At 39.0% G+C, this 20,590-nt stretch overlaps 1 protein-coding gene across 2 annotated transcripts in view; it reads right to left on the reverse strand.

Moving 5' to 3' along the window:
* Positions 1 to 2,127: 2,127 nt before the first annotated feature.
* The window catches only part of C1orf87 (chromosome 1 open reading frame 87), an 83,377-nt gene continuing 64,914 nt past the window's right edge, over positions 2,128 to 20,590 (reverse strand). For both annotated transcript variants that reach the window (NM_152377.3, XM_017000307.2), the window contains 3 exons: positions 12,811 to 12,890; positions 9,343 to 9,550; positions 2,128 to 2,567 (listed from right to left, as the gene is read on the reverse strand). In NM_152377.3, the coding sequence (NP_689590.1) occupies positions 2,407 to 2,567; positions 9,343 to 9,550; positions 12,811 to 12,890 (449 nt within the window). In that variant the 3' untranslated portion in view covers positions 2,128 to 2,406. The remainder of the gene's footprint in view (positions 2,568 to 9,342; positions 9,551 to 12,810; positions 12,891 to 20,590) is intronic.

Consider the following 20,590-nt stretch of genomic DNA (forward strand, 5'->3'; position numbering starts at 1 on the left):
GTGATAGTTTTGAGTAAAACCTGCCTTACGATTTTAACAAGAGTCAGAATAATTTTTTCTTTAAGACAGACAGACAGACACACACACACACACACACACACACACACACACACACACACACACCCCTTGGGGAAAAGCAGTGGAGAATTCCAGGAGACGATGCAAAAGCAATTGATACTTGACTCTAGAAGGCAGATACATCTCAAAATTTGTTCTTACTGTAGTAGTGGCCTGACCTCCCTATGCCATTTCACATAGACCGTTGTTCAAAGTACTTTGGAAGCTTCTTGAATGTTCAGCAGCTAAGGGAAGGGACATAAAAGGGTATATCGTTATTACATGCAAAGAACTGTTCAAATGGCATTGCTTTCAATGTTTATAACAATCCTTCAAACAGATGTAATTGCTTCTGTTTTATAGATGAAGGAACTGAACTCCAGGGGGATTAAGCAACTTGTCAAGTCTACCACCCGCTAAGTGCAAGAGCCAGATTTTGGCTATTTTTGAAGCTATTTATTCTTTTTCTACTCTGTGTGGAAATATGGGGGGTAGGGTAGTAGGGTGACTGTGGATCTAGATCTGGTAAAGGTTACCCTACTTATAGAAGTATTCATTCAGCCAAGACTATAGTACAGGTTATGCTTAACCTGTGGTCACACAGCTCTGGTGGCACCTTTCATGCTGCATTCTATGTAAATGCAGCCCCCTGCATTTGTGTAGCTTGGGGATGCTGAGGCTACTTATCAGAAACTATGCTAGATATTGGATATTAAGAATTGGGCAAGGTAAAATCATTGCTCTTCAGGGCCTTATGATTTTGTCTAATAACCCCGACTTCAGGTTTAGGATCTTCTTTTACCCAAACTGCCTCTCCAACCCACTTACTCCCAGAGATGAAGGGTAAAGTGAGACCTTCTCAGTATCAGTTGACCAGTCCTTCACAGGAAGCACGAACCTTCTAGCAGATATTAACTGGCACAACCAAACAGCTTTCTTGTCCTCTGAGTCTGTTTCCTCATCTGTGAAACAGAGCTGTGAAACCTGTCTTATTGAATTGTCAGAGATAGACCAAACAAAGTATGTCAGGTTCCTCAAACACAATAGTTGCTCAAGGCATATTAAATTTTTGACCTACTATTCTAATTGTCCTTACTTGGCATTTTGTTAGAATGAGAAAGCCGTGTCTATTTGCTTGCTCTTTTGACCTAAAAGGCAGCCAGAAAGTCCAAGGGTTCTAGAAAGGGTGGTCAGTCGGTTTCAAGAGTCATTTTTCTGGACAACTCAAGGATTATAAAAACCAAAGCAGGTCAGACTAGAAGACCCTTAGAGACCATTTATTTCAGTGGATCCAAATAGTTTTGTTCTTAAGGCCTTGTCTATAAGAGTACATGAAGCACCTCATTTTATAAAATGGATAGAAAGGGATGCTCAGAGGCCTTTCTGTTTGATTTTCCCCTTGACCTAACTTGTTCATTTTGTCTGGCACACAGATTGGAAACTCAGTACCCTGATCACCCAGTATTAGTGATGGTGCTGGGAGCACATTGTCTCTGAAGCTCCAGGCCAGTGTTTCTTCAATGAGCTCATGCTACCTGTATGGTGTGATACGTGTGTAACTGTGTGCTATGTGAGTGGTGCAAAGTCAGGGGGGATGTTAAGAACAGAAGAACTATGGGAGCTGATGGAAAGTTCCACCTGGTTTTCCTGTCCAGGCAGAGCAAAGGATGTTACCTATTCCCAAAACGCTTTGTCCCAAGGAGTCCTTCCTCAAAACTTCTATCTTGGACTTTTGGAAAATACCCCTGGAGACAGTGTAATGTTGTTTAGTTTTGTACTGCAGAAAATATTGGACTTGTTCAGAAAACCTCACTTGAAATGTTTCTTCTACTGCTTAAGATTAAGATAGTGTATTGGTAATACTTTTATTTTTCTTATGGTATGGAAATCCTTCCTAGAATAATGACCAGGAGAAGGGATGATTTACCTATCCAAAAATGATGTTCATAGGTCTACTAGGTTCCAGGCACTGTGGGGAAGTGGCAACATTTAATGTTTTTTTTACTATGTGGAATTGTGGGGTTTGAAACAACATAGTTTGATTAGCAATGTAGGAAAAAATCAAACATGTAATATTAATAATAAGTTTTATTAAAACAGAAGGAGATTCTAAGTAGCTGGGTTCTTGCCACATCAAAAGATAAAACTAGGTTTCCTCTGATCACTTTGAACTGCTTATGAGTGAGCATCATAGCCAGAAACTAAGTCCAAATCAAAAGCATCTACAATAGCTGCATCGGCCTCCACTCTGACAATGCCTCCGCCACTACACTTAGGCTGGGGAGAAACATGTGTCTGGGTAAAAAGGGAGATAAGGGAAACATCTGTTCTCACAATATGGGCTTGTTATCATAGCTCCTTTAAGTACCGCAGTGCTGGCTCCAAGAGCATATTTTCTCCCGAACGGAATCTGCGCAAGGCCTGGTCGATTTTCTGAGGGCTCAGGGACAGGTTGTAAATGAGATTGTAGTTGTGAATGAGGCGTCTGGCTCGTTCCTTCTCCAGAACTCCTGTGATTGGATTGGGTAGGAGGAAGGTTTTTTAAAGAGGATGGAGGGAAAACAGAGAAAACTATATATTAGCTTGAATGACTTCCAGGTAAAGACTAAATGCTAATACTTTGCAATTTTAAGCTTCTTAAAAATCAAGTGGCATATTAAAAAATATTTATAGCTGTGGGTATGCATCACAGATTTCAGGAAGAATCTGAGGGTGATTTCAGGGGAAAGAGAACAAGATGGGATCCAATAAGATCCATAGATAAATTCTAAAGCAATTTAGGCTTTTCTTTGTAACTTTAAAACTTGTAAGGCCAATTTTTGAAACACTGGGGGTGCCTAGCAAAAGTAACTTCTAATTGTCCTGAGTTCTTTTTATCTTGTTAAAGTCTCCAAACACATTCCTAAACATGCAGGGATTAAACAGCTTATTTTCAAAATGCATTTCTCTAAATGTATTTATAGATGTTCTTTGGTATCTGCAGGGATTAGGTCCATAATATTCCCCTCCCCAACAGTGATACCTACACCCATGGATGCTCAAGCCCCGATATAAAATGGAGTAGTATTTGCATGTAACCTATACACATTCTCCCATGTACTTTAAACCATCTCTAGATTACTTGTAACACCTAATACAATGCAATTGCAATGCAAATAGTTGTTATACTGTGTTTTAAAATTTGTACTTTTTTTTGTTGTCGTGTCATTATATTTTATTTCTATTTTTTAAAATATTTTTGATATGCAGTTGGTTGAATCTGTAGTTGCGGAATACAAAGATGCAGAGGACTGACTGTCCTGTGACTCCCTCCAGCTTGCTGTGCAATCACAGGTGAAGCATCTAACTTCTCATAGCTCAGAGTTTGAATCTGCGTAATAGAGGTGGTAATGTGTATGACTGCAGGATATGCTCTGGTACCCACACATTATATATGCCAATACCAATGTCAGTATGCTTTCCATGTTAAGATTGGATAGATTTTGATGGCTGTTGGGAGGAGTCGCAGTGTAGACCACGGCATCACTGAAGATCAATAACTCACTCATAAGCCCCTAATTGCAAATATCTATGTGTCAGATACTGTGCTTGGGAATACAGAAGATTTAGAGAATTTTTCTGCTACCTCTGGAAGTTCTCTGTCCCGTGGGGGAGAGAAGTTATTCAGAAAATTAACTGGGATACAACAATAATAATTAAACAATATTTAAATATAAAATTTACTATGTTCCAGGAACTGCTCCAAGCATTTCACCAATATTAACTAATTGAATCCTTACAATAACCCATTTCACAGAGGGCAAAACTAAAGCCTAGAGACTGCAAGTCTCTTGATTGCCTAAGGTTAACCACTACAGTACGTTATGGAATGAGGGAAAAGAGATTGCTTCAAGTAGGGGTCTATTTATTTATTTATTTATTTATTTATTTATTTATTTATTTTTTATTTTGAGACAGGGTCTTACTCTGTTGCCTAGGCTGGAGTACAGAGGCACGATCATGGCTCACTGTAGCCTTGATCTCCTGGGCTCAAGGGATCCTCCCACCTAAGCCACATGAGTAGCTGGGATTGCAGGTATGTGCCACCACTCTCAGCTAATATTTTTATTTTTTGTAGTGATGAAGTTTCACTATGTGCCCAGACTGGTCTGGAACTCCTGAGCTCAAGCAACCCTCCCCCTAATGCCTTTCAAAGTGCTGGGATTATAGGCATGTGCCACTGTGCCTGGCCTCTTTTACTCTCCTTCATATGTGCGAACTGTAAGAGTGATGGTGAAATTCCTTCCTAAAGAATCCAGAGGCAGTGCCTTGTCATTTTGCGGAAAGCCACTACTAGTCCATTAGAGTTGGGCAATGGTAGATACTTATCATCTCAGTTTAAGATACCAAATATTACTCATTTTTAAATGTGCAAGTACTATTGTGCATGGTGCCACCTTCTCAACTACTCTCTAATCGCTATTTTTAACAGTAGGCCACAATAGGTGGGGTCCTAATTTATTCTGTTCTATTCCAGTGTGTTCATTTTCTATTCTGTTCTGGTTTGTTCATTGCCTATTTATTGTCTGTCTCTCTTATTAGAACAGTGGTCCTTTCATTTATGTAAACCTCATTCTTTGAGTTGGCCAATTGCATCTTCGAAGTTTTCTGGATAGGATGGCTGCTCTCAGTCCTGTCTAGCTTTGCTTCCTCTGGCCATTTCTCCACACCCTGCCTCTGGAAATATAAGACATGGATTTGGAATAAGTTTATGACTGTAAGAAAAAAAATGAGTGAGGTGTGGTGGCATGCACCAGCTAAGGTGGGAGGATCATTTGAGCCTGGGAGGTCGAGGCTGCAGTGAGTTGTGATCATGCCATTGCATTCTAGCCCAGGCAACGGAGTGAGGCCCCTGTCTTAAATAAATAAATAAATACATAAATACATAAATACATAAATAAATGTCAAAAGAGGAAAGAAAGAGGGAAAGAAGGAAAAGAAAACAGAGGTAATTAAATTGTGTGAAAATCAATAAAATATTAAGTTCACACAGTATCCAGTACTAGTAATCACTCAATAATGTGAAATTTTACTATAGGATAATTATAATAATTATGTCATCAACATTATTTTAAAAATATATAAACAGTATATATGTAATTGCTTATTAAAATAGATAGCATTTAGTTTATATTTTAATTAAAAATTAAAAGTTATGTTAAAAAATACATCTAGGAATCACAGTAGTATTTTCTATCTTCTAAGCTTTACCATTGATAGAAGATGCCTAGAGTCAAACAAAAAGTCCACTGAATGAAATTTGTATCTGTCTAATTTACTCTGTCATTAGGGGATGCCCAGAACAGCTGCATAAAATAGCCCTTACAATCCATCTTAGTGTTGGAAAGCCTGTCTTTTCTAACCAGAACCAAAATAAAAAAATAATAAGAATCCTTTTTTTTTTTTTTTTTTTGAGATGGAGTTTTGCTCTTGTTGCCCAGGCTGGAGTGCAGTGGCATGATCCCGGTTCACTGCAACCTCCACTTCCTGGGTTCAAGTGATTTTCCTGCCTCAGCCTCCCAAGTAGCTGGGACTACAGGTGCCTGCCACCACAGCCGGCTCATTTTTGTATTTTTAGTAGAAACGGGGTTTCACCATGTTGGCCAGGCTGGTCTCGAACTCCTGACCTCAGGTGATCCACCTGCCTTGGCCTCCCAAAGTGCTGGGATTACAGGCGTGAGCCACTGCACCCCACCATAAGAACATTTTCAACATCAACTTCATTGTACAGTATATAAAGAACTTTCAATCTTTTATCTCATTTGATCCGTTCTCAAATCTGGGAAGTATGTTTTATTATTATCAGTTTTACTTTGTAGATGAGGAAACAGGTGAAGAGAATGTAAGTGACTGGCTTTTACGGATCAACAATGGGTGGAGTCTGGATTTGAATCTAAATCTTCTGATTAAAAAAAAAAATCAAGCAAAATCGTGTGCTCTTTCTAGTATGTCATGGGACTGGGTGTAGTGGGGATTCATGGAGAGCTGGGCTTGAATTATGGCTCACCATCCTACTGGCTATTATTTTATCACTTTGAGCTTGGCTTTCTTCTCTGTAAATAAGGATACTAATCCCTTCAGCATGTTGTTGATGTGAGAATTTAGTGATGTAGTATATGTAAAGTCCGGGCTCATGCAGAGGAATTTCTTTCAGGCTCTCATTGCATTCTCCCTCCTTGAACTCTAAAACACTTTCTATTTAGCTTTCACTTCACTGGGAAAATTCCAAATGCAACATTCACCCAGACATTTATCTTAACCACTGTTTTTTTTTCTTTAGAAAACATGACTAGTTATTCATAATCATTCCTTATCCCTTCTCCTCAAGGCTATTTTGTTGACAACCCCCATTAGAGAATAAGCACAGTAGGTTCCCAGAAGCACTGATGTGATGATGGATGGCCTGTCCTCATCCTGGATGGAGAACATGCTGGCCTACATATTTCTTTGCACATAATAAAGAATAGTGATTCATCCATGGGCAAAGCAGATATCATCTGCTCAGCATCTAGAATGGGGCTATGGTGGTCTGCTAAGTACTGTGGGTTAATAAACCACCAAAGTGACCTCAGTTAATCCTCTTTCCTCATTAAAGACAGTTGTAGATTTTCCCAGATCTGGCTGACACATTCCTTGGCTGTTGAGGAACTAATGAATTTCATGGAAACAGAGAAAACAGGCATAAATAGTGAAGAGGCCATGAGAAAGGCATTTCAAATCTGTCGGAATCTGCCTCCAAAGTCAACAAACTCCGTTTCTCCTCAGAACGGTTCAGAAGCATGAGAAATCTCCCAGTCTTTGGAGAGTGTCTTAGCAACTAAGTTTATGATCCATTATCCATCACAAGTAAGCATTTGTTTCTTTAGCAATGTCATTTTTTTAAAAAATGTTTTGTTATTGCTTGTAACCTCATCACCACTCTCATAGCCCTGTTGTGAATACCCAGACTCAGGGTTATTTCAATAATCTTTTCATCTCCTTCTCTCCAGTACCTTCCCTAAGTCATCCATCTCAGCTTTCATTATGCCTTCCTCCGCATGTACATTTGGATACTGGGTAAAGAATGAAGCCTCATCCTATCCCTTAGGGTTCATAATAGGTTCTCAACTTTACTGTATGTCCAACATCCACCTCCAGCAGTCCTGTCTTGGTACTCGCTTCTCCATCATACTCATTCTCACCTTCTAACTTTTGCAGGAGATGACTTCAAACTCGGGATGACCTGTCCAACTGTCCAAATTCTACCTGAAGTCTCAGCTCAAGTTCTCTCTTTCTTGGAGTCCTCTCTTGGTCCCGGACCTCGCATTAGATGGTCAGCCTCATTTCATACCTTCACTTTCCTTTTGACTCTTGAACTCTTATTTGTGCCTTCATTTGTCTCAAACTCTTGGGCTCAAGTGATCTTCCCACCTCAGCCTCCCAAAGTGCTGGGATTACAGGCATGAGCCACCATGCCCAGCCATGTAACTTCATTTGTAATACTTAATGCTGTGTTTTAATTTTGTTTGTTTACTGGCACTGAACTATTGTTAGTCTCTGTGTCTTACCTAAAGGTAAGCTCCTTGAGGCCAGAGACTATGTCTCATCCTTTCTGGTTTTCCTCTTGGTTCAGCCTCTAACACAGTTCTAGGCTCATAACGTATTTTTAATAAATAACTTTATAATTCAACCAGATGAATCTTTCAATTAAAATTTTCAGGTTTTTTTTTCTCTTTGGTATAATTATTAAGAGTCCCTGGATTTTGTATGGCAATTATACTTCCTCGTGGTCTAGAATTAAGTTGCTTTGGAAATTCAAAGCAAAACAAAAACACACAAAGAGAATGAAAAGACAGACATTGCTATTGTCATATGATTACTTCTAGATGGTACTAATGTGTACACCAACTCTTCATGAACCACAGTATGTAAATAAATAAGACATTTTGGGACCATGTGCTTTTCTATCTGCTCCCTCTTTTCCCAGCACTCTGATGTGGTTCTAGACTTCATTCTCTCTCTCCTTTCCACTTTCCCTTATTTCACTTTCTCCTTCATTCTGCACATAGTCATCAAGGATCCTTCTGAAGTACAACTTCATTACACCACTCCTCTACTTAGAAACTCTCCGTGCTCTCATTATCTTTGAATTGACTCCAAATTCCTTGGTCTGGCATTTAAAATCTTTCAATATCTGGCCCCATTCTTTATTTCCATCTTTATCATTTAATATTCTTTTTAATAGCCCCTATATTGAGCACCCTGCACTGAGCTTCACACACAGCATTTGCACCTTTGCCAGAAAAGGCTACTTCATTCCTTTGTGACCAAACTGCATTTTAAGTTTAATGATCAATTTAACATTAACAAAGCCTTCCATGATGACCCCACCAGGAAGAAATTCACTTTTCTCTGAATGCCCACAGAGCATACTCTAACAACATTTATCACCATCTATCTTGGATTTGGTTATTTACGCACACTGGCTCATGTATTTCTTTCCTCAAAACAAAACTGTGCAAGGTGCCAGGGATAAACAAGGAAGATAGTCTACTGGTGAGATAGTAATAAGCCCCCAAATAAAAATATACAATATGTTGCATATGATGATGGATGTTAAAGAATCCTAAGAAGCCATAGGAAAGTTGGCCTAGATCTGTCTGGGAGTCTCAGGGGAATTGTGTTTGAATTCAAACATAAAAGATGTTTAGGTATTGATTAGCCAGGGGACAAGATGGGGAGTTCGTGGGGGTTGGGGTAAGTAGAGAGGAAACAAAGAGCCCAGATGAAAGGCTGGGAGTTAGAAATGGCACAGGCGTGTGCGAGACAAGGCCTGCTTGAGGCAAGGCAAGTTATTCATTATTACTGGGCAGGACGTGCTGAGAGAATATCAATAGTAGGAGAAGAGATTGGCCAGGTGGATAGGGACCAGATTTTGCCTTGCTAAGGAGTTTGGAGTTCATCCTCTTATCAGTGGGGTATCTCTGAGGTATTTTAATCAGAGGAATTATAAAATTGGATTGTGGGTTTACTTTTTGGCAGTAGGGTGCAGGAAGTATTGGGAATACAGAGAAATTATAAGCAATCTGGTATGGGATTCCTGTCTGATTCGTCTTCATATTTCTGGATTGTGCTCAGCACATTGCAGGGCACATGATTTATATATTAATTGTATCATTTGTTCAAGAGGCAAAAGAAAATGAGGTGCCTACTTTTAGACTAGACCACAAATAGAAACCTATGCCAGCTTTACAATTCATACTTCACCTGTGTTACTCAGATCACACAGGTAGAGGGCATTTTCCAGCTTCCTGAACCTGTCTATCCACGTCTCACATTCCTCAGCCTTGTTCTTCACAGCTGGATTCACGAAGGGCTGGGAGACTGGCCTGATCTTTAAAGGTTTCAGAGGATCTTTGCAGGCTGAAGTTTCAGCAGGAGAGCTTTCTGGCTGCAGCTCCTCTTCTGGAGTTTTCTACCAAAACAACAAAAGCATTGGCAACACATTCACCACCCAGAGCTTCTCCAATCTCTTGGCCAAAGATGAGGCCACACAACTAGCAAGATTTATAGCAAGGTTTGAGTTTGGAAAGCTAAGAGGATGAGCTTCAAATCTTCAGTGCCATAAGATCATATCTGCCAAATCTTGCTGGATACAAACATGTGAAGTGTGTGTGTCTAAAGAGAAGGGTGACATCATGATTTTTATTCAGTTTTCATTTTTGACTTGCATGAAGCAAAGAACTTTGTAACTGACTGAGGCTTTTCATGATGTTCTACTCTGTTTTGTACTAGTGGGGTCTGCAGGGGGTAGACTTCAGACAATGCTCATACTTCTTGAAAGAAATACTTCTGGGTCATGAGTGTGAGGTTTTTGACAAAAGATGATCGAAACAATAATGATGTTATCTTAGGCTTGTGGGTCCATTTCAAAGGATGTTAAAGCACTCTTAGTCTGCCAGTCCTGTTCATTTAGCAAAGGAGGCTGGGGCCCAGAAAGTACAAGTGGTTTACTAAGATCACACACATCTTAGAGTAGACCTAAGACTAGAAGCAGGGCATAAAGGCTAGCTCATCTTAGTATCCTAAATTCATTGCCAGTATAAAATAGAGGTGTTTTAGAATTAAATAGACACATCAGTCCCAGCAGTGCCATATAAGGCATTCTGATCTTTACCATGTGCAGTGAGTGGGCATCTATTATTTGATCTGCCCAGCCCACCTTTTGCAGAAATTGCCCTTCCTGCTGACCCACACAGCTGTGGAAAGAACTGCCATGTTCTATCTGCATAGTTTAGGACTGGGCATCTAATACAAAATGAACCAAAAACCCATTGTCCAGGAATTTTGGTACTATTTGTGAGAGAAAAATGGAGGTGATTATGTGTGAGATATTGGAACTCTAGCAGGTTTTCCATTTTGTGTACTGCAAATGAGAAAAAGCTGGTCTACTGAGAAAGAGAGAGAATATGAAGCTGACAACGAGAGAAGAAAAAAGATATAGGAAGTCTTGATGGTGTTAGAGTCTCTGGTTTTAGTTCATTGTTGCATTTCTGTCCTTTGAGAGTATAATATGCTTCTCTATTCTTCCAATAAATTAAGCTAGTAGAGTTGGTTTTGTTCATTGAAATCTAAATATTCCTAATTAATTCACCATAAAATTATGCCTCTAACTTTTGTATACCATCTGTGTTCCCCCAACTTTCAAATGTCTGAATTTTTCCAATTTTGTACCTTTGTCTCAAACTTCTCGTATATAAGCTGTGAGAATCCCAGAGCCCTAAAGAATTGTAAGTGCAATAAGAAGCCAAATTCTGAGTTGGTTAACAAACATGGATTAAGTTGCTGCTGGGGAATGTAAAGAATTCTTTTGTTTGAGATCATGGAATGCTATATGAAATTGTACCCACATGGATGACAAACAACCAGTACGTCTTAACGGATTCCTATAAAAAGAATTCTACTTTGATAAAATCAATTTTGTGAAAAGCAGAAAGTTTTCATATAGTAAATTAGAATAGTGATTCTTATACTTTTTTTAGAGCATTGGACTACTTTAGAAATCAGATGAAAGCTTTAGAAAATCTGACCAGATTAATGCACATTTGCATACATTTTGATGGATAATTTTAGAGAGATCACAGGTGCCCTTGGATCTGAGAAATTACTTTTAAGTAGTTTTATATTTCTTTAGATAGTTCAACACTCTCTCTTTGACCACTGAAGACAAGGAAAAGGGGAGATTTGTAGGGACCTGAATCAGACTTAAGCAAGTAACTAACAATGTAACTAATACATCCTTCACTGTTTTGGTCCCACTGTATCTGGATGAAGTTCACATTCCTTGGGTGGCACACAAAACCATTTATATTCTAGTTATTGCTTATCTACCCAGCTAATCTTCTTTTAGTCCTATATACATATCTTCTTCTTTGGCCACAAAAACCTGAAAAATGGAAGCTGTTTTATACCTTTTTGCCTTTATAATGTTGTTACTTCTGTTTTAAAAACCCTTCTTGCCATATATGCCTTGATTGTTTGGGTTCTTACTCATTCTTCAAGACTTGGCTAATTGTTTATTTCCTGTGGGACGCCTTCCCCAACAGCGCCAGGCTGGGCAAGAGGTGATTCTTTGTAGCTCCCCATCACAGCACTCCTACTGGATGTTGTCTATGTCTGTTTCAAATATTACCTCTACCAGAGATCCAGAGGTTGAGCCTGTGAGATAGTTTTTAATGTATCCTTGAGGTCTGGCTAGTGGCTGGCACACAGTAGGTTGTCAAGACATGTTTAATGAATGAATAAGTGAATGAATGAATGATTTTCTCAGGGACAATAGGAAACTTGCTTTACCAGACCCCTGCTTCAATTTGCCTTTCTAAAAAGTGGGACAATCAATTCCGTTTGTACAGGAATGTGAGAAGAATCAATTATCGCAGAGATGCAATAAATTCTTTAAACAAGAAGCAAAATAAAAGAGCAAAGTATATTTTTTATAATCTTATTCACAACAGACTTAACACTCAAGGAGAAAAGCATTTGCTGTTGTTTCTTGCATGGCAAGAGGCTTGCCAAAATGGGTACTATTTTCTAAAATATTTCAACGTGTGAAGTGCATGAGGAGGCCTCCCGTCATTTTAAGATGAATTATGTTCTAATCCGGGCATTTAAAAAACAACAACAGAAAAACTCAGGCTGTTTTTAAATTCTGTCTACAACTTCTCCTGGCTAAATGCTGGGAATATTAAAATGGGTTTTAACTGCTTGCCAGATTTTTTTCTTTCTTTCTTCTTTTTAATCAGAGAGGCTATTACATTTTAAAATGTGGTGTCTGGGGAAAAGGTCACCCTCAGTTTCTGGAAGTTGGAATTAAGATGTTAAAATAGATCTCATAATCACTCTTTATTTTGATGGCAGTTTGTGAATCGGTCACAAGCTTTGGAAGGACACCCAGACGTATGCTACAAGTCCAATTTCTTGGGGCAGGTGGCAAGCCCATCACCACGTGATGGCAATAGGTTTCTGCAAACCAGCAAGGACAGAAACTAACCCACACTTAAGTAGTTCTTTTGCCTCCTTCTTTGCCCAAGGAGAGTCTTGAAGTCAAAGACAGTCTGACATCAAGGGTTTGGGAGAAAATCAAAACCCACAGGAGAGAGCCCCATCCAGCATCAGAGAAAAGGCCAAGTATCCATGAAAACCTTCCCCCAAACTCTATATACCCCAGGTGCATACCATATGTTCAGTTTTGCTTTGAGACATCTCGGGGACTTCAGGCTCCATTGGAGGGGCAGGGGCTTTCTTTTCATTCTTCCCTGAACAAGAATAAAAAAAAAAAAAGGAAGGGTTTAGCTTGGTCTCTTCATTTAACACACACATATACACAAGGCAACAACAACAGCAACAACAAAAAAATGGAGGCTTTGCTCTGTGGTTGGCACTGTGTTAGGTAATGGGAACACTCTGATGAGTGAGAAAAACCTGATTCCCACCCTGGTGGACCTCAGATTTGGAAGTAGATGTTAAACAATGACTCTAAATTTTTATTTAGTTACAACTTACTATAAATAAAACTAAAGAAAAATATGAGAAAATAGGAAAGTATTTAAACTTCTTTGGAGGCCGGGGTAACAGTGGTGGGGGTTTCGGAGGAAGTGACACAAATTCGCAACCTGAAGGATTGGTTTTAGTTGTGTTTGTAGCACTTATCACTACTGAAGAGGAGTTATCCAGGCAAAGATGATGATGGTGATGCACACAGAGCAGAGAGTTCCAGAAAAGCAGAGACAACAACCTGTAGCAAGGCCCTAAGAAAGGCTTTTGTAACTTAGGGAGTTGAAGGGACGTCTTCCTGTGGTCCTGCCTCTTAAGAACCTCTGCCCCTCCTTTTACACACACATGCACCCAAAGGACCAGGCACAACCTTTCTCATCTTCCTTCCTTGCTTCTTTCAATGGTCGGTGGTACTGGACGGGAAGAGGTTGAACAGCCTCATCCCTAATCCAGTGGATTCTGTTTTCCAGGTACTACTTGCAGCAGGCTGCTGCCTTCATGAACAGAAGAGATTTCCACAGGATGCAGGAAAAACACAAACAAATATTAAGACCTGTGGAAATCCTCTGAGCCTTATTGTAGGTATCCTTCATTGATCACTCAGTACCTTCCATCTGACTTGGTGACTTATTTATTTTGCAAGTCTGCGGATGACTGTACAGCACAGGTTTCTGGGAGCCTCAGCTTTATTAATCAGTGCATAATTCAGATATGCCATTAACAAATGTATATTATTTCTAAATTGAGTCTCACTATTTTTAATAAAAATGATTTAATCAATACATTTTAAACAAAGGAGGCAGTGTACCATAGTGGTTGAGAGTATAATCTCTGGAGCTAGATGCCTTGGCATTGATTCCTGGCTTTGTTCCTTGCTAGCTGCATGACCTTGAGCAAGTTACTTGTCCTCTCTGTGCCTCAGTTTCCTCTTCTGTATAAAGGGGATAATGACACCTATAGGCTATTGTAAGGATTAAATGGACTAGAAAGTGTAAAGCAATTTTTTCATGTGTTTTTTGGCTGCATAAATGTCTTCTTTTGAGAAGTGTCTGTTCATGTCCTTCACCCACTTTTTGATGGGGTTGTTTGTTTTTTTCTTGTAAATTTGTTTGAGTTCATTGTAGATTCTGGATATTAACCCTTTGTCAGAGGAGTAGGTTGCGAAAATTTTCTCCCATTTTGTAGGTTGCCTGTTCACTCTGATGGTAGTTTCTTTTGCTGTGCAGAAGCTCTTTAGTTTAATTAGATCCCATTTGTCAATTTTGTCTTTTGTTGCCATTGCTTTTGGTGTTTTAGACATGAAGTCCTTGCCCGTGCCTATGTCCTGAATGGTAATGCCTAGCCATCAGAGAAATGCAAATCAAAACCACAATGAGATACCATCTCACACCAGTTAGAATGGCAATCATTAAAAAGTCAGGAAACAACAGGTGCTGGAGAGGATGTGGAGAAATAGGAACACTTTTACACTGTTGGTGGGACTGTAAACTAGTTCAACCATTGTGGAAGTCAGTGTGGCGATTCCTCAGGGATCTAGAACTGGAAATACCATTTGACCCAGCCATCCCATTACTGGGTATATACCCGAAGGACTATGAATCATGCTGCTATAAAGACACATGCACACGTATGTTTATTGTGGCATTATTCACAATAGCAAAGACTTGGAACCAACCCAAATGTCCAACAATGATAGACTGGATTAAGAAAATGTGGCACATATACACCATGGAATACTATGCAGCCATAAAAAATGATGAGTTCATGTCCTTTGTAGGGACATGGATGAAATTGGAAATCATCATTCTCAGTAAACTATCACAAGAACAAAAAACCAAACACCGCATATTCTCACTCATAGGTGGGAATTGAACAATGAGATCACATGGACACAGGAAGGGGAATATCACACTCTGGGGACTTTTGTGGGGTGGGGGGAGGGGGGAGGGATAGCATCAGGAGATATACCTAATGATAGATAACGAGTTAGTGGGTGCAGCGCACCAGCATGGCTCATGTATACATATGTAACTAACCTGCACAATGTGCACATGTACCCTAAAACTTAAAAGTATAATTTAAAAAAATCACAAAAAAAAAGAAAGTGTAAAGCAAATACCTGAAACACAGCGACTGTTCAGTGAATGTTAACTAATAGTGTTATCTAGGTAAGGATATTTTTACAAATAAATTCACATATCAATTTAAAAGCCATTTGTTATATGGAATTTTAGCATCAAACTTACAAATCATTGTGAAAGTTCTCCCTCAGTTTCTTGATGAAGAAGACATGTGATTTCATAACCTTCTTTGAAGCCCCAGCACCCCTCATTAGAATTAAATACTCAATGAATACATGTTAAATAAATGACCATGTGTTCTAATACGTAGTTTGAAAAATAAAGTCACTAGACATTTAGTGCCATTTTTCCAAATTCTTTTCCAATCCTGGGAGAGGAGTAATTTTTCTCTGTGTTTCTTTATCCTCTCATATCTACCCCAGATGCTATATAGAGCAAACCTTAATAGTGGCTAAATGAAGAGTATGATGGCATCCAGTTAGGGCGGCCTTTTGAGGCAGATCTTATTTGATCTGTTGAACGTTTAAGTTGTCACGAGAACCCATCCTCAACTAGTAGCATTGGCTACTGCTTATTTCAACCAATATGTGAAAGAAAAGCTTTCTGTTTATTATAAGAGGTTCAAAATACTCTGAATCATACAGCTCTCCTGTTAAAGGGATTCTTGAAGCAGTACGTGGGGAAAGGGGAGGAGGATGAACAGACAGACCTAACATCTAACCCTGATTCTTCTCTTTACCAGCTTCAAGCTTTTGGATCTTAATTCTTTCATTTGTGAAATTACAGAAATTTGCAATAATACTGTGGGGATTAAAGAAAAAAACCTACGTAAAATACCTAACACAGGGAAGATGCTCAATTCAAGGTATTATTATCTGTTGTTGTGTTATTATTATTATGTGCCCTTAAGCAAATCGAGCTTCCCCAGAGAAGAGAAACTAACATTAATTATGATGTCCCAGACATTTTTTGGGACACTGTTTAATGCATTATCCTTTTAAAAATAAGATCTAGAACATAAACTTTGTCCTAGCCCCATTCCTCTCTACCGTCTGCACTTCTAAAACTTCCATTAGGAAAAAATACATACTAGTCTACTTGGTCTCTTTTAAGCTTCCCTTTCTCCTTCCTAATACCTAACAGCATATAAAAAGGTAATGGCTTGCACATGTAAAAATTGTTTGAAAAACCTGAGGCAGAGCTATTTTTTTTTCTTTCTAACACAGCAAGAAGGATAAATAATAACCATCTGTCTAGTCTGCCAGTTGAAGATTTGTACCAGAGGAAATAAGCCAAGCTGGCTTCTAGAGATTTCCAGGTGTTGGAGGGCCAGGTTTTACAGGGTTTCCAGTGGGTTCTGATAGTTACGTAGCCAGCGCTCCTGTCTGCCCTCACTAATGACTTGAAATCAGTAGCCTTTAGCACTGGCTGCATGTTAGACCCACCTGGGCAGCTTTAAAAATTACCAGTGCTCAGGCATCACACCAGACCAATTAAGTCAGAATCTCAGGAGGTGAGAACCCAACTCAGTACTTTTTAAAAAATTCCCTAGGTGATTCTAAAGTAAAACCAGGATAGAGAACAACTGACTTTAATAAAAGCTTCTGGCTTCAGTGGGCCTACTGAATGAAGCTTTTGTGAGAAGGAAACTCATATATGTCAAATATCTAGAAATGACAGACATTTCCACATCATCTAAAGAATTATCCCTGTGAGGTAGAAATCATCCCCATTTGACAGATGAGGAAACTGAGGCAATGAATGTTTTAGTTTCCTTTTTAAGACAACAGAGGCAGGGTTACGTCTGTGGCTTGAACTAATTCATTCATGTAACAAACATTTAAGTGCTTACTATATGCTGGGCACTATAGGACAGAATCTTTGCTTCATGGAGTGTGCATTCTGATGGAGAGAACAAAGAGATGCATCAAAGAATGTCAGGTAGTGATAAGTGCTATAAACACAGCTAAAACCAATGATTAGGGGATGGAAAGTAATGATAGCTGCCATTTTAGATAGATAATTCATCAATGACCTCTTTAAAGAAGTGACATTTAAATAAAACCCTGAATGGAGGAGAAACAAGAGAGCAAGCTGTGAAAATATATGGATAAAGAGCATTGGAGGAAAATGTTACAGCAAAGGCTAAGGCCATGAGGCAGGAGTGATTGGTGCATCAAGCAATAACTGAGAGCAGAGCCTGGGTGAGGCAGAATGAAAAGGGAAGAGAAATGGGTGAAGTGTTCACAGGGCTAAAAGGCCCCATGGGCCACACCATGTGACTGAAGCTGATTCGTGTGTGTGTGTGTGTGTGTGCTTCTCAGCATTCTTTTTTTTTTTTTTTTTCCTCTGGTGATTCTCTCCTTCATTATCCCCTTCTGAAGACAGCAACTATGTTTTGCTTTGTGGTGACTACTCCTACCCCATCCCAGTGCACTATGGTTTGGTTGGACTGACTCTCCAGTTCCAAGTCCAAACTTGATCTCTGATTAGTTTAAGCCTATCATGGTATCCCAATCACAGTCTTGGTTCAATGATGGCCATAAAACTCAATCTGAGCTTCTATATGAGAAGAAATACTTGCTACAGTTTCTTAGATAGTAAAGTTCTCTCCTTCTTAGGAGAACACCTATCCAAAGAGTGAGCTGTGAGGATGTGATGGCCATAGCTACCATAGCTATTTTGCTATTGTAGAATGTCCAAGTAGTTGAGGGACTACCATATAGAGCCTGAAGATGATGCCAACAGGAGGTAAGGCATATCAGAGAGCCAGAAAGAAGGCAGATCCTTGATTTTGATATCTGAATGGCTAGATCAAACCATTCCTGCAGCCCTTGCTGCTGCCAGAATTTTCAGCTAAATAAACCAAAATCTCTATATTGTCTAAACCAATTGAGTTTGCTTTTCTTTCCCTTCAACAGAAGTAGTTCTAATTAGTAACTAGTATGAGTATTTTTTTCCTTAGTAAAAGGGAGGCCAAGCCTTCACCATTTTTCTGTTTTCTTGAGTGATAGGTCTTCAAGAAATGTTTGAGGGGTGTCAATGAGCCTCTTACGCTACTCCTCATTTCCTTTGAATTTTCCCTTGTCAGCAGTCATACTGGAACTCTGCTCTTTGCTTTCTGCATCCTCTTCTTCTTCTCTCTTGTTCACAGGCTCCACAGTGAAGAGATTCAAATTTGAGATCATACTTCATTTTTGTGAAATACTATTTTAGACTTTAGACCTTACCATGTTTAGAGGGGCCTAAGCTCTTTTTATATGTGTCTTAATGGGAGTTCATCATATTTCTTAGATCTGTGGCTTAAGGTCTTTTACTACTTTCGGAAGCTTCTCAGTCATAATTGCTTCAACTTCATCTTTATTCTCTTTCTCCTATTTTTCTTTGACTTCAGTTACATGTACGTTAGATGTTGTCACCATTTCCTATGTGTCTCTTGCATACTTTTTTTTTTCTGACAGGGTCTCACTCTTTTGCACAAGCTGGAGTGTAGTGGCATAACCAGAGCTCACTGCAGCCTCGATCTCATGGGCACAAGTGATCTTTCCACCTCTGCCTCCCAAGTAGCTGGGACTACAGGCATGCACCTCTATGCCTGGCTAATTTCTTTATTATTTGTAGAGACAGGGTTTCACCTTGTTGCCCAGGCTGGTCTCAAACTCCAGGGCTCAAGTGATCCTCCCACTTAGGCCTCTCAAAGTGTTAGGACTATGGGTGTGAGCCACAGCACCCAGACTCTTACATACTTTTAAATGTGTTACATCCTAATTTTTCATCCATGCTTCAATCTGGATATTTTCTATTGAACTATATCACAGTTCACTGGTCCTCTCATCAGCAATGTCTAATCTGTTAAACCCATCTACTGAGCTTTTAAATTTTAATTTTTATAAATTTAAGTGTAGATATTCCATTTGATTCCTTTTATAGATTCAAATTCTTTGCTGAAAATTCCCCATCTTGTCATTCATTTTCTTGAACATATTAATTACAGTTATTTCAAAATCTATGTCCTGCTTTACATCATCCATGGCAATTTTTAATTGAAGCTGGACATATTGTATGAAAAACTTAAGAGATTTTGTATGATACCTCCTTTCACAGAGAGCTTTTCTCCCCCTTCTGTCTGGTAGTTCAGTTTGAATTCCAAGTAAGAGTCTTCGAACAAATATTCTTTTGGATTTTATCTAATCTTCTAGTTATTCTTGCCAGGAGGTTTGGCTTGCTGGAAAGTAGACTCTCCTTGTCATTAGTGTAAGTCACAGATATTAAGTATTTATGTGAAAATTATATGTACATTGAAAAACAAGTTCCCAGGATTTTTATGATTCTTAATGATATAAATTTTCTAATAAAGGCAGTATATATAAAATGAGTTATTTTAATTAGGTTAGTATGGCATCTTTGAGTGCAGAGAGGTCCTAGGAAAGAGAAAATTCACAGTTCTACACACCCATAAGGAGTATCTTTTTTAAGTTTCTGTATAATGCCCCTCCTTCACTTTGATAACATTTACCTGTGGAGCTAAAGAATAGACAGAAAAAAATGGCTCACTCAGTGCTTAAGAGCATTTAGTCATCATAGATCCAGCAGTACAGAAACAAGAAGAGACCAAGACATTGACTAAGTAAATAAGCAGTGAGCTATCACAACAACAATGCAACAGCAACACTACCCCAACTCTGTAGTTCTGGAGAGTGACACGTTGCCTATAAAAATTAGTGATGTGTTGCCTATTTTGTTTGTCAGACTCACAATCACCCTATAAGATCAATAGGGCAGGTTTGCATTTTTCTTTTATATTTTGCCCATTTTAGATATGAGAAAAATGAGTCAGAGAGAAATAAAATAAGTGTCCCAATATAAGTTAGTTATTTAGTTGTGTGAGACTTCAATTTATCTTTTTACATATTTTTCTGCTATTCCATATGCTATGGTCTTAATTGTGTATCCCCCACCCCAAATTTATATGTTGAATCCCTAATCTCAAAATCTGACTGTATTTGGAGGTAGGGCCTTTAAAGAGGTGATTAAGTAAAAATGAAGCTGTTAGGGTGGGCTGTAATCCAATCTGACTGGTGTCCTTACAAGAAGAGGAAATTTAGACCTATAGAGACACCAGGGATGCACACACACAGAGGAAAGCCATGTGAGGACACATCAAGTATCCACCTAGCATCAGAAGAGCTACTGCTATAATGTTTTTCAGCATTCTCAGCCCTAGCCACGTGTGAAACCTCAGGTCAGATGAACAGCCACGTGACATCACTTCAATGGTCTCCTCATTGAAAATATGATGCTTTGTAAGAGATCCAAGTGCAGCCACCTTCTTAGAGCCTTAAATTATGTCGCAGTCCAAGAATCAGCTGTATGGAATCCCC

Source organism: Homo sapiens, chromosome 1 (assembly GCF_000001405.40).
Source record: "Homo sapiens chromosome 1, GRCh38.p14 Primary Assembly".
Classification (NCBI taxonomy): Eukaryota; Metazoa; Chordata; class Mammalia; order Primates; family Hominidae; genus Homo; species Homo sapiens.